This window comes from Homo sapiens, chromosome 4, assembly GCF_000001405.40.
Source record: "Homo sapiens chromosome 4, GRCh38.p14 Primary Assembly".
NCBI lineage: Eukaryota > Metazoa > Chordata > Mammalia > Primates > Hominidae > Homo > Homo sapiens.
Window position 1 is genome coordinate 109,787,845 of NC_000004.12, and position 14,633 is coordinate 109,802,477.

A 14,633-nucleotide genomic window follows, 5' to 3' on the forward strand; every position below is an offset into this window, starting at 1 on the left:
CTAAAATTTTGTCTATTTTTTAAATTTTTAATAGATTTTTTTGAATAGGAAACAGAGAGAATTGTTCAAACAGGTTCAAAAATGTGCCTGTAAAAGTTATGTTTCCTTCCTTTCCTTATCCTCTCAATCCACTCAGGCCCCACTTCAGAGGCAACCACTTAACAGCTCTTTGTGAGTCTTTCCAGAGATCATGAATGTATACATGAGCCCATGTTACTCTCCAATCTGTGCCCCAACATCAGTGCATTTGTAACTAGTGGCCCTATAATCAGCCCGCAAAGGGCAGTTAGATAGTTTCTAATGTTTTACTATTATAAATAATGCTATGATGAATCTCCTTATATAATACACATCATTTCTCACATATGCTAAGTATATCTGCCAGATACTTCCCTGGAAGTGAAATTGCTGAATCAAAGGAATGAGTAATTTTAATATCCAGAAAGATATTGGCTAATTTTGCTCTACAGAGGTTGTTTTAAATTGCATTCCCATCATCAATATATGAGAATATCTAGTTTCCATACTCTTGATTACAGAGTATATATTATGTTTCCACAGCACACTTTTACTTGCATTTTTTTCTGAGTGAAGTTGAGCATCTTCCGTATGCTCAAATTTTAAGAGAGATTTTTACTTCTTTCTTTACATCCTAACCATATCTTTCAGTGATATAGATTTTTTCTTGTTTTTTGTAGTAACTCTTTATATATTAAAGAAACCAGCACTTTATCTGGAATATGAATTGCAAAACTAATGGCAAGTTTAGTGTATTTGTCCCACAGCACAGACACTTTTAAAACACCCCCATATAAGAAAATTATTTTTAGTAAAAATCATGAAATGAAAGGAATAATGAATTATGAAGAAAATGCAAAGTGAACATTTTTAAATGGAAATTCAGATATATAATCAAATCTGTAAAAAATTTAAAAAGTAAATTTAAAATACATATTACAGTACAAACAGCATCCAACAAGGCAAAATTAATAATATTTGACATTTAATACAAAATAGTAGGCATCAGAGAAGTCATAAAATATGACCCATGATGAGGAGAAAAAACAGGCAATTGAAACTTACCCAGAATTCTAAAACAGGTGTTAACATTACTAGGCAAGGAGATTTAAAAAGTTATTTTAACTGTATTCCACATGTTCAAAAATAAAGACACAGATGATATGAAAAGGATCCAAATTGAACTTCTAGGGATAAAAACTACAATACACTTGATGGAACCAAAGCCAAACCAGATATGCAGAAGAAAAGACTGGGAAACTTAAAGACATATCAATGGAAACTACAATAAAATTTTAAAAAATAAAAAAATTAAAGAATAGAGTATAAATGAACTGTGGGGCAACTTCAAGTAGCCTAGTACATATGTAATTGGAGCCTCCAAAAAAGAGGACAAAATGAGGGAACAAAAAACATATTTGAAGAAATAATGGCTGAAATTTATCCAAATTTGAGAACAAATGAGGAATGAACCCCAAGCAGGAGAATCATGAAGGAAATTGCACCAAACCATGTCACACTCAAATTACTTGGAAACCAATAACTAAGAGAAAATCTTCAAAAGAGTCAAGGAAAAAAGACACTATGTACAGAGAAACGAAGATAAGTATGACATTTCTCATCAATAATGCAAATGCGAAGACAATGCAGCAACAATTTTAAAGTACTGAAAGAGAAAATTGGCAATCTATAATTCTATACCCAGTAAAAATATCATTCAAAAATTTAGGCAAAAGAACAACCTTTTTAGACACACAAAAGCTGAAGGAATTAGCAGCATACCTGCAGTACAAGAAAAAGCAGAAGGAAAATTATCACAGAGGGAAATCTGATCTATACAAATAAATTAAGGATACTGGAAATCTTTGGGAGTTTTTGATTTGGTGGGAAGATAGTCTTCATCTCTGTTTTGCAATTTTTCTTGTGGTATCTTTGATTTTGCTATTATGGTAATTTATTGGCCTCGCGGAATGCATAGGAAGTGTTCCCTCCTCTTTACCTTTTGAAAGTGTTTGAGAAAAATTAGTGTTAATTCTCTTTATATGTTTGGTAGAATTCACGAGTGAAGCCATCTGGTTACAGATATTTCTTTTTTGGGAAATTTTAAAATTACTGATTTAATACTTTTACTTGCTATAGGTCTGTTCAGATTTTCTAATTCTTCTTGAATTAGTTTTGGTGATTTGTGTGTTTCTAGGAATTCATTAATATTTCTAGGTTATCTAATTTGCTGGCATATAATTGCTCATAGCATTCTCTTATCATTCTTATTTCTGTAAGATCAGTAGTAATACCTCCAATTTCACTTCTGATTTTAGGTATTTGTATCTTCTCTCTTTTTTCTTTCTCAGTTTAGCTAAGGTCTGACAATTTTGTGGCTATTTCCAAAGAACGAACTTGTGATTTCATTGATTCTATTGTCTTACTATATATTTTTTGTTTCTACTCTAATCTTTATTCTATTTTTTCTTCTAGCTTTGGGTTTAGTTTGCTCTTCCTTTTTCTAAAGAAGATATGCTTCTTAAGTTGTAAAGTTAGATTATCAATTTGAGATCTTTACTCTTTTTTAAAACTTTTAAGTTCAGGGTTTGTTTTATAGGTAAATTTGTGCAGGTTTGTTATGTAGGTAAACTCGTGTCATGGGGGTTTGTTGTACAGATTATTGTATCACCCAGGTATTAAGCCTAGTAACCATTAGTTATTTTTCCTGATGCTCTTCCTCCTCCCAGCCTCCATCTTCTAATAGGCCCAGTGTGTCTGATAGGCCCCTCTATGTGTCTATGTGTTCTCATAATTTAGCTTCCACTTATAAATGAGAACATGTGGTATTTGGTTTTCTGTTTCTGCATTTGTTTACTGAGGAAATGGCCTCTGGCTCCATCCATGTTCCTGCAAAAGACATGATCTTGTTGATCTTGTTCTCTTTTAGGACTGAGTAGTACTCCATGGTGTATATGTACCACATTTTCTTTATCCAGTCTACCATTGATGGGCATTTAAGGTGATTCCATGTCTTTGCTATTGTGAATAGTGCCGCAATGAACATATGTGTGCATGTGTCTTTATGATAGAACAATTTGTACTCCTTTAGGTATATACCCAGTAATGGGATTGCTGGGTTGAATGGAATTTCTCTTTTTAGGTCTTTGTGGAATTGCCACACTGTGTTCCACAATGGTTGAGCTAATTTACACTACCACTAAATGTGTATAAGCATTCCTTTTTCTCCACAACCTCGACAGCATGTTATTTTTTTGGACTTTTTAATAGTGCCATTCTGACTGGTGTGAGATGGTATTTCATTGTGGTTTTAATTTGCATTTATCCAGTGATCACTGATGTTGGGCTTTTTTTCATATGATTGCTGCTGCATATAAGTCTTCTTTTGAAAAGTATCTGTTCATGTCCTTTGTCCACTTTTTAATGGGTTGTTTTTTTCTTGTAAATTTGTTTAAGTTCCTTATAGATACTAGATATTAGACCTTTGTCAGATGCATAATTTGCAAACATTTTCTCCCATCCGTAGGGTGTCTGTTCACTCTGCTGATAATTTATTTTGCTGTGCAGAAGCTCTTTAGTTTAATTAGATCCCATTTGTCAATTTTTGCTTTGTTGTGATTGCTTTTGGTGTCTTCGTCATGAAATCTTTGCTCATTCCTATGTCCAGAATAGTATTGCCTAGGTTGTCTTCCAGGGTTTTCATAGTTTTGGGTTTTACATTTAATTCTTTAATCTATCTTGAGTTAATTTTTGTATATGGTCTAAAGAAGGGGTCCAGTTTCAATTTTCTGCAATTGGCTAGCCAGTTATCCCAGCATCATTTATTGAATAGGGAGTCCTTTCCCCATTGCTTCTTTTTGTCAGATTTGTAGAAGATCAGATACTTGTAAGGGTGCAGCCTTATTTCTGGGTCCTCTATTCTTTTTTAATGTAGGCATTTACTGCTATACATTTATCTTTGATAACTGCTTTCGCTGCATATCATATGTTTTGGTATGTTGTGTTTTGTTTTCATTTATCTCCAAGTATTCACAATTACCCTTGTGATTTCTTCTTTGACCATTGGTTGCTTAAGAATATGTTGTTTAATTTCCACATATTTGTAGATTTTCTAATTTTCTTTCTGTTATTGGTTTCCAGCCTTATTCCACTGTGGTTAGAGAAGCTACTCTGTATAATTTCAATATTTGTAAAATTTATTAAGACTCATTTTGTGACAAGTCCTATACGGTCTATCTTAGAAATTGTTCCATGTGCGCTTGAGAAAAATGTGTATTCTGCTATTATTGAGTGCAGAGTTCTATATATGTCTAGTTATTAGGTCTACTGGGCTTATAGTGTTGTTCAAGTTCTCCATTCCTTATTGACCTTCTATTCATTATAGAAAGTGGAGTATTGAAGCTTCCAACTATTATTATATTATTATCTATTTCTGGTCAGGCACAGTGACTCACGCCTATAATCTCAGCACTTTGGGAGGCCAAGGGCAGATCACCTGAGGTCAGGAGTTCAAGATCAGCCTGGGCAACATGGTGAAACCCTGTCTCTACTAAAAATACACAAATTAGCCGGGCGTGGTGGTGCACTCCTATAATCCCAAATACTTGGGAGGCTGAGGCATGAGAATCACTTGAATCAGCTGCAGTGAGCCGATATCATGCCACTGCATTCCAGCCTGGATGACTCCATCTCAAAAACAAAAACAAAAACAAAAACAAACCCACCCCCCCCAAAACAAGAATTGTCTGTTTCTCTCTTTTATTCTGTCACTTTTCATTCATATCTTTTGGGGCTCTATTGTTTAGTGTATAATATTCATAATTGTTATATATTCCTGAAGAATTGACCCTTTCATTAATATATCATGTAATTTATCTCTTGTAACGGTTTTTGACTTAAGGTCTATTTTGTCTGGTATTAGTATAGCCACTTTAGCTCTTTTTTGATTGTTATTTGCACATAATATCTTTTCTATCCTTTATTTCTTTGGACCTAAAGGCAGCCTCTTTAGACAGCATATAGTTGGATAATAATTTTAAAAAACTGATTCTGCCAATCTCTGCCTTTTGATATTAGAATTTAATCCACTTCCATTTAAAGTAATTGCTGATAAGAAAGGACTTACTCTTCTATTTGCTATTTGTTTATTGTATGTCTTATACCTTTTTTGTTTCTCATTTTCTCCATTACTGCCCTTTTTGTGTTTAGTTGATTTTTTCATATTCAACTATTTCAGTTCTCTCTTTATTTCCTTCTGTGTATATTTTTTAGATATTTTCTTTTTCGGTACTATGGAGATTACAATTAATAGTGATTAAATTTATAGTAATCTAGTTTGAATTGATAACTTGGCTTTGAGAGCATACAAAACTCTGTTCCTATACTGCTCCATCCATTCCTTTATGTTGTTATTGTCATGTTACATCTTTATACATTGTGCACTGTTAACACAGAATTAGAATCGTTTTATATAGTTGTCTTTTAACTCATGTGGGAAAGGAAAAGAAGAGATACAAAACCAAAATAATATAATACTGGCTTTTATATTTACCTATGTAGTTACCTTTACTGGAGTTCTTTATTTCTTCATATTACTTCAAGTAACTGCCAAATGTCCTTTCACTGCAGTATGCAGGGTTCTCTGACTTGCACTGTATTTCTTTATTTTAATTTAATTTTATTTTAGAGATGATCTCACTCTGTTGCCCAGGTTTGAATGAAGTGGTGTAGTCAGAGCTCACTGCAGTTTTGAACTCCTGAGCTCAAGTGATTCTCCCACCTCAGCCTCCCGAGTAGCTGAGACTACAGATACATGCCACTACACCTAGCTAATTTTATTTTTTAGAGAGATGGGCTCCTGCTGTGTTTTCCAGGATAGTCTTGAACTCCTGGGCTTAAGCAGTCCTCCTGCCTCATTCCCCTAAAGTGCTGGGATTATAGGCAATGAGCCACCACACCCAGCTACTTGTAGTGCATTTCCTGTAGGACAGGTCTATTAGTAGCTAACTCCTTCAGCCTCTATTTATCTGTGAATTTCTTCATTTCTCCTTCATTTGTGAAGGATAGTTTTGCCAGATACAGAATTCTTGGTTGACAGTTTTTTACTTTCAACAAATAAAATTTTCATCTGCCCTCCATGGTTTCTGATGAGAAAGCTGCTGCTAATCTTACGGAATCTCATGACTATGTTGTTTTCAAGACTTTCTTCATCCTTGGTTTTGACAATTTGATTATAATGTGTCTTGGTTTGAACCTTTTTGTGTTTATCCTTCTTGGATTGCATTGAGCTTTTTGAATGTGGACAGCCATGCATTTGATCAAATGTGGAAATTTTTCAGCCATTATTTCTTCATATATTCTCTCTTACTTTCTTATTTTCTCCTTCTGGGGTTCCATTATATATATTTTGGTATGCTTTATGGTGTCACACGAGTCTCATAGGCTCTGTTCATTCCTTGTCATCCTTTTTTCTTTCTGCTTCTCATACTGGATAATTAATTAAATGGACTGATCTTCAAGTTTGTTGACTATTTCTTCTGCCTGCTCAAATCTTCTACTGAAACCTATTAGAAAATTTTTCATGTTTGTTATTGTGCTTTTCAACTCCAGAAGTTTTGTCTAGTTCCTTTTTAAAATTTCTATTTGTTGGCCAGTCACGGTGGCTCATACCTGTAATCCCAGCACTTTGGGAGGGTGAGGTGGGTGGATCACTTGAGGTTCAGGAGTTCAAAACCAGCCTGGCCAACATGGTGAAACCCCATCTTTACTAAAAATACAAAAATTAGCTGGGTGTGGTGGTGGGCACCTGTAATTCCAGCTATTCAGGGGGCTAAGGCATGAGAATTGCTTGAACCTGGGAGGCAGAGGTTGCAGTGAGCCAAGATTGTGCCACTGCACTCCAGCTTGGGTGACAGAGCAAGACTCTGTCTCCAAAACAATTCTATTTATTTATTAATATTCTATATTTGTTTATACATTATTATCAGGGTTTCCTGTAGCTCTGAGCACATTTAAGACAGTTGAAGCGTGTGACATTGGCAAGATGGTGGAACAAAATGTCCCAGCACTTGTCTTCCCACAGAAACACCAATGTAACAACCATCTACAAATAAAAATACCTTTATGAGAGCTCCAGGATCAAGGTGAGAGGTTACAGCATGCAAGTGGAACAAATATATGAGAAAAAATTGAAAGGATAAGAAAATAAATTTCACTTTATAGAGTTACCCTTTACCCTACACAGCATACACGATGCTGAAAGAGATTCCTTTGGATCATGAGCTCTCTTGTGGGGGAAAAAGAGAGCAACCCTGCTCCTGGGCACTGGCATCAAGACTGTCTACCCACACAGTGACGGTGGCACCAGGCCTGCCCGTGGACCACAGCACCGAGCCCACTGGTAGACCCAGGCACCAGGCCCACCCACACATGGTCTCAAGCAACAAGCCGTTCACACGGGCCTTGCCAGCTGACCCACCCAGAATCTCTGGCTGACTGATTTGTGAAAGACTTTTTCTGCCAAAGTCAGTCTGTGAAGACTGAAAGAGGTGGCTGCTTCTTCAAACATCCAGACATTAATACAGGTTACAAGGATTATGAAGAAAAAAGACACTATCCAAGGAGCACATAAAGCTCCAATAAGTGACTCTAAAGAATTGGAGACCTACAAATTGCTTGACAAAGAATTCAAAGTAACATCTTAAAGAAGCTCAAAGAGCTATAAAAGGACACAGATAAACAACTACACAAAATTAGGGGAAAATAATTCATGAGCAAAATGAGATATTCAACAAACATAAACCATAAAAAAGAACCAAAGAGAAATTTTGGAGGTGAAAATAATACAATAAAGGAACTGAAAAATTCAGTAGAGAGCTCATACACCATACTTAGTCAAACAGAAGAGAGAATCAGTGAACTCAAAGACAGGTTATTTGAAATTATATGGTCAGAGGAACAAAATGAAAAAGTATAAAGACTACAGGACTTGTGGGATACCCTCAAGCCAACGAATGAATGCATTATGTTATTTACAGAAGGAGAAGAGAAAGGGAAAAGGAAAGAAAGCTTATTTAAATTAACAATGCCTGAAAACATCTCAAATCTAGGGAAGGAAATGGACATCTGGATTCATGAGGACCAAAAGGATCACAAAGATATCTAACCTAAAAAGGTCTAGACTGAGACACATTATAATCAAATTCTCAAATGTCAAAGACAAAAAGACAATTTTGAAAGAACGAGAAAAGCAACTTGTCATATACAAAGAAAACCCTATAAAACTATCAGTGGATTTATTCTTCAAATTTCTTCTTCTTCAGAAACACTGCAGGCCAGGAAAGAGTGGGATAATATATTCAAAGTGTCATAACGAAGAAACAAAAAACCCCAAAACCACTGCCAACCAAGAATATTACACCCAGAAAAACTATCCTCTAAAAATGAAAGAGAGATAAAGACTTTCCCTAATAAATCAAAACAGGAAATACATCACCTGCCTTACAAGAAATGATAAAAGGTTTTATTCAAGTTGAAATGAAAAGATGATAAACAGCAACACTAAAGCTGCAGGATACAAAAACAACATACAAAAATCAGTGGTGTTTCTATACATCAATAATGAACTGTCCTAGAAAGAATTTTAAGAAAACCATCTCAGGCCAGGTGCAGCAGTTCATGCCTATTTCCCAGTGCTTTGAGAGGCCATGGTGGGAGGATCCTTTGAGGCCAGGAGTTTGAGACTAGTCTGGGCAACATAGCAAGGTCCCATCACTACAAAAAATAAAATTAGTTGGCATGGTAGTGCACACCTTTGGTCATGGTTACTTGAGAGGCTGGGGTAGGAGGGTAGCTTGAGCACAGGAGGCGAAGACTGCAGTGGGCTATAATTTGCCATTGCATTCCCACCTGGGCAACAGTGCAAAACCCTGTCTTTAACAAAACAAAACAATCTCATTTACAATAGCAGTTAAAAGAATAAAGCACTTAGAAATAAATTTAACCAACAAGGTGAAAAACTCATACCCTGAAGACTGTAAAACACTGATGAAAGAAATTAAAGTAGGCACAAAGAAATGGCAAGACAACTCACATTCCTTCACTGAAAGAATTAATATTGTTAAATGTTTATACTATTACAAATAATCTACAGATTTGATACAATCCCTACCAAAATTGCAAAGGCATTTTTTTACAGAAATAGAAAATATAATTCTAAAATTTACATGGAATTTCAAAAGACACAAAATAGCCAAAACAATTTTTTGAGCAAGAAGAACAAAGCCAGAGGCATCCCACTTCCTGATTTCAAAAAATATCACAAAGCTGCAGTAATCAAAACAATATGGTACTCTCATAAAAACAGACATATAGATTCATGGAACAAAGTAGAAAGTTCAGAGATAAAACCATGCATAGATAGTCAACTGCTCTTCAACAAGGGAGCCAAGAATATATAATGGGTGAAGAATAGTCTTTTTAATAAGTGGTAATGGGAAAACTGGAAATCCACATGCAAAAACTGAAATTGGACCCCTATATTACCCCATACACACAAATCAACTCAAAATGGATTAAAGACTTACACATACACCTGAAATCATAAAACTTTTAGAATAAAACATAAGTGATAAGCTTCTTGACATTAGTCTTGGCAATAATATCTTGACTATGACGACAAAAGCACAGGCAACAAAAGCAAAAACAGACAAGTGGGACTACCTCAAGCTAAAAACCTTCTGCACAGCAAAATGAAAAGACAACATATACAATGGAAGAAATATTTGCAAACTATACATCTGGTAAGAAGTTAATATCTATCTAAAATACATAGGGAATTCCTACAAATCAAAAGCCAAGAACCAAATAGTCTACTTTAAAAAGTGGACAAAGGAGCTGAATAGACATTTCTTCAAATAAGATATGTAAATGGTCAATAGGTACTTGAAAAGGTGTTTAATATCACTAACCATTAGGGAAATTTAAATCAAAATCACACACCAGTTAGGATGGTTATTGTCAAAATAACCAAAGGTAACAAATGTAGCTGAGGATATGCAGAAAGGGAAATTCTTCTACAGTTGTGGAAGAATTGATAAAGAAAATGTGGTATATACATGCAATGAAATATTATTTGGCCTTAAAAAAGAAGGAAATCCTGCCATTTGTGACAATATGGATGAACCTAGAGGACATTAATCTAAGTGAAACAAGGCAGGGACAGGAGGATAAATACCACATAATACAACTTATATTAGGAATCTAAGATAGTCAAACTCATGGAACCAGAGAGTGGGATGGTGGTTGCCAAGGACTGGGTGAGGGGGAAACAGGGAAGTGTTAGTCAAAGGTCAAGATGTATAATTCTTAGAGATCTATGCTACAGAATAGTGCCTATTGTTCATAATACTGTATTGTATACTTAAAAATTTGCTAAGAGCACAATTTCTTTGTTAAGAGTTGTTACATGCACACACAAAATAATAAATAAAGAGAGTGAGAGGAAACTTTTAGAAGTGGTGAATACGTTTATGGCATATGTTGTGATATTTTCACAGACATATACTAATCTCCAAACTCAAACTCATCAAGTTATGTACACTAAATATGTAGAGTTTATTATATGTCAATCATAACTCAATAAAGTGTTTTTTTTTTTTAAAAAGACCATTAAGTCTTTGTTTAGTGAGTCCAAAGTTTGTGGTTCTTCTGGAACAGATTATGTTCATTTCTTCTGTAAATGGTCCATACTTTCTCATATCTTTGCATGCATCATAATTTTTGGTTGAAAATTTTTGGTTGACACTTTGACTCTTACAGTAACTCTTGAAATCAGACTCTTCCTTCTGCTTGGGGTTTGTTTTGGTTGCTTGGGGTTTGCTTTGGTTGCTTGGTGTTTGTTTGATGACTTTTCTAAACTACTTTTGGCAAGTCTATTCTTTATCACATGTGGTCTTTGAAGTCTGTTCCTTTGACTTATATTCAGCTAGTATTTAGACAGAGATTTCCTTCAATGCAAGAGGAGGGAGAGAGAGAGAGAGAAGAAAAAGAAACCCAGAAAAACAAATCAAAATCTCAAAATCTCTCCCAGTCTTTGCAGATTGGTTCTGTCCTGGGCACTCACTCATCCAGGCCATTTGCAACTCTACCTTAGCCTTCACTTCATACTTGCACTGAACTTAGACAACCACCAGAGGTGCAGGCTCAGAGTCTTCTGAGGTCTTTCTGAGCATGTATCCTGCCCTGAGCATGTATGGGGCTTCCTAAACTCCCCAATACACACAGGCACTTTTGAATGCCCTAATTTTCCATAGGATCTTAGTTTTTCCCCATGCTTTGGTGCTCTGTTGTGTGCCTCCACTGTAATCCTTTGCCCCAGACAGCTGAGATTGCTCATTAATCTTGCAATGCCTGTGCTTTGTAATATTAATGCTTTTCTGCTCTGAGTTCTGAGCTAGGTGAAACCAAGACAAGTGCCTGGGGTCTGTCCTACAGGAAGGCCTTAGGATAGAAAAGACAAACACATTATTTTTGAATAAGGTCTTCTCTGTTCTTTCCAGTGCTAGGGAACCGGGTCCCTCCCTGAGTGAGAAACGTACATGGTCAGTGTTTGCTGCACCAGAGTTAGGAGAATTTCTTCCATATTAGATAGACAGATTTATATACTTTCCCATGGAAGATTAAGAAACTGAAATCTAAGATACATGAAGAAATTGTAAGTGGAAAGGCCACTTAGTGGTTGGTTTACAACAGTATTATAAGTGATAGGGTGATAGAAGTGTGGTAAGTGATTAGGATAATATTCTGCATAGTAAGAGAAACAGTTTGTATTTTTAGAAGAAAATTGCTTTAACATTTGCAAACTAAGGTAATGAGAATACAGTGAATTTCAAAATGTCTTTTTAATGACAATGTGTGAACTTGTTTTAATAAACCAAAATTTGTTGTTATTGTGTTAAGGCTATTTTATGTACTCAGATATCCTTCAAGACCACTGCCAAATTAGGGAGGGTATGGGGCAAGGACACAAAGGACAGACACGCAAAATGCTACTAAGCTTTCATACCATTTTTAGTTGCCTGTTCCTGCATTCAACATTTTCTTAGGTGCTATAAACCTTTGACTGTTTTCCAGAGTTCTAAATAAAGTTGGTTCTGACAGCTTCCCTTTGGTTTCTGTAGAAATGGATTTTTGGTTTTTGGTTTTGGTGGATCTGCCTACTCTGCCATTTCCGCTGCCATCACTTGCACTGCACACCCTCCTGTGTGCCACCCTTGTTTCCAGGATGTTGTCATTCTGCTTAACATTACCCCAGTTCTTTCTCTCTAAAATGCCACCCATATGTGCCTGAGTTTGTAATAAAATTTTAGGGTAAAATAAAATTTAGGGTATCAGTTGGTGATTACGTCACAGCACAATTATGGTAGGTAATCATGTTGACTGAAATATTTGGCTTCTCTGTTTTTTTTTTTTTTTTTTTTTTTTTTTTGAGACAGGATCTTGCTGTGTCACCCAGGCTGGAATACAGTGGCATGATCAGAGCTCCCCGCAGCCTCAAACTCCTGGGCTCAAGCAATCCTCTTGCCTCAGCCTCCCAAAGTACTGGGATTACATGCGTGAACCCCCACACCTAGTCAGCTTCCTTGTTGTTGAACATCCTCTGGTTATTCCCCCCATTAGAAGGCCCCAGCAGCCACTCCCACTGTGCTATGGGTTTCTTTTCCATCTTTTCTGAATCCCCTAGTTTCCTTGTCTGAGTAGGTTCAGTAAAACCGAAAACAGAAAATAGAATCACCAGTAATCTTATTAGCCAATGATAGCAACTATTAACTGTTTGATACATACACTGTAAGATCTTTTAGTCATATATATAAGTAGGTATAAGTATGCATTTATATATATGCATATAAACACACATACATATGTGTGTGTGTGTTTTTCTTCAATAAAAATAAAATTGTAGTAAGGACTTTTTATTTAGATAAATATGTCATTTCAATGGCTATGTAATAGTTCAATTTTGGATATACAATAATTTAACCAGTGTCTTATTAATAAGCATTTAGTTATTTCCATTTATTCTCTATTATAAACATTGCAATGATGGCAACTATTTTAGAAGTTACAAGAATCTTAAAGTGTGTTTTCTTAAGTAGTTTTCTTTAAATATTTTCTTCTACAAGCTGGCACTAAGACAAGATAGTTTTGGATTGCCACCAAAGTTGGCAATCATCAATAAGTATCCAAAATATTTTAAACATTTTTCACCTTAATAGATGACACTCTAACTTCAATAAAATATGTCATTTCAGTTTCGAGTTCCTTTGTAGCCCACAAAGCCTTCATTCTGATCAAATGGATTCATTTATTTGGAGGGGCCTAGTGCATTGCTGCCTTCCTATGGTAGCACTTGCTGCTTTTCCTGGCTAAAGAAGCTGGAAATCACTCCTCTTTCTCACCACTGATCACATGTAATACAGAATTAAACGTTCAGCTCAAATCCTACTTGATCTATAATCTCTTCATGACCTCTCAGCATGAAGTGATTTGTCCTCTCATTGAAGTCCTTTACCACATATTTGTATCACTTTTGACAATTAAATATATACTGTCTTGTAACTTGCACTTTTGTGTTTTCAGATGTTTCAAATTTGCTTATTATTTCCCCTTTCTATAACTATAGAGCGTACTAAGAGGCTGTTGAAGGAAGAGATCAGTCTCACTGTCTTCGTAGCACTGTACCTTACACACAGGAGGAGCCTGGTAAATATTTTTGATTTACTACAATTACAGTAAATCACAGCCTTGTATTAGTAAAATTCTTGTTCAGTTCAATGCCTCTGCATATATAAGCACATAAAAAGAACTATTTTTAAAAAATCACTTTTATCAAGATATTAACATAAAACATTTGTTGCTGACTATAGAGTGGCATTGTTGTAACTGAACTATGTAATATTTAAATCAAAATTATATATTTAAGATTATTTTCTATGTTTTTACAACCTTTAAATTATCAATTAAAATTGTTTGCATAAAGGTTGAATTACTTACCTTGCAAAACCTTAAGTGGAAGCACAGAAATAACAGGAAAACATGAAGAAGCTTCATGTTGGAGGTGTTCGGGGTCTTTGTCTCTGCTGAGAACTCTTTTCCACTCCAGGTATTCTTTTGAAATTTAATTTTTAACCTCTGAAAAAATGTTTCAAAAGAACAAACCTCCTAAAGAGCTTTGTACTTTTGAACTCTGAAAGAATTTGGCTGAAATCCAGAGAGATTTACCGTAACTGAAACCAAAAAATGGCCTTCCCATTAAAGAGCTGAGGGAGGTGACCAATAGGAACTTGTTTCCACCAGAAGAGACTGATTTCCTCCCACCCTGTTAATTGCAATGACTCAATTCTGTATTCCAGGGAAGACAGAAATTATATTGGAAGCAATTTTTTGGTTTTTTTTTTGTACAGTAAAAATATAATTTTTTAAACTTAAGGTTGAAGACTAGGAGACAGTAAGAATAAAAGTAGACCATATAGTGAAGGCTGCAAAATACATTTAAAACTCTAGAAACCAGCTTCTTTACCATGCATTTGTTGTGCTGTGATCAAATTGTATTTTTG

General features: G+C 35.3%; 1 protein-coding gene across 20 annotated transcripts in view; it reads right to left on the reverse strand.

Moving 5' to 3' along the window:
- Positions 1–14,155, reverse strand: part of CFI (complement factor I) — a 71,018-nt gene extending 56,863 nt beyond the window's left edge. For all 20 annotated transcript variants that reach the window (NR_164673.1, NR_164671.1, NR_164672.1 and 17 more), the window contains exon 1: positions 14,071–14,155. Coding sequence is in view for 16 of the 20 variants with exons in the window: in NM_001375282.1 (NP_001362211.1) it covers positions 14,071–14,127 (57 nt within the window). In the remaining 4 variants the exon portion in view is untranslated. The remainder of the gene's footprint in view (positions 1–14,070) is intronic.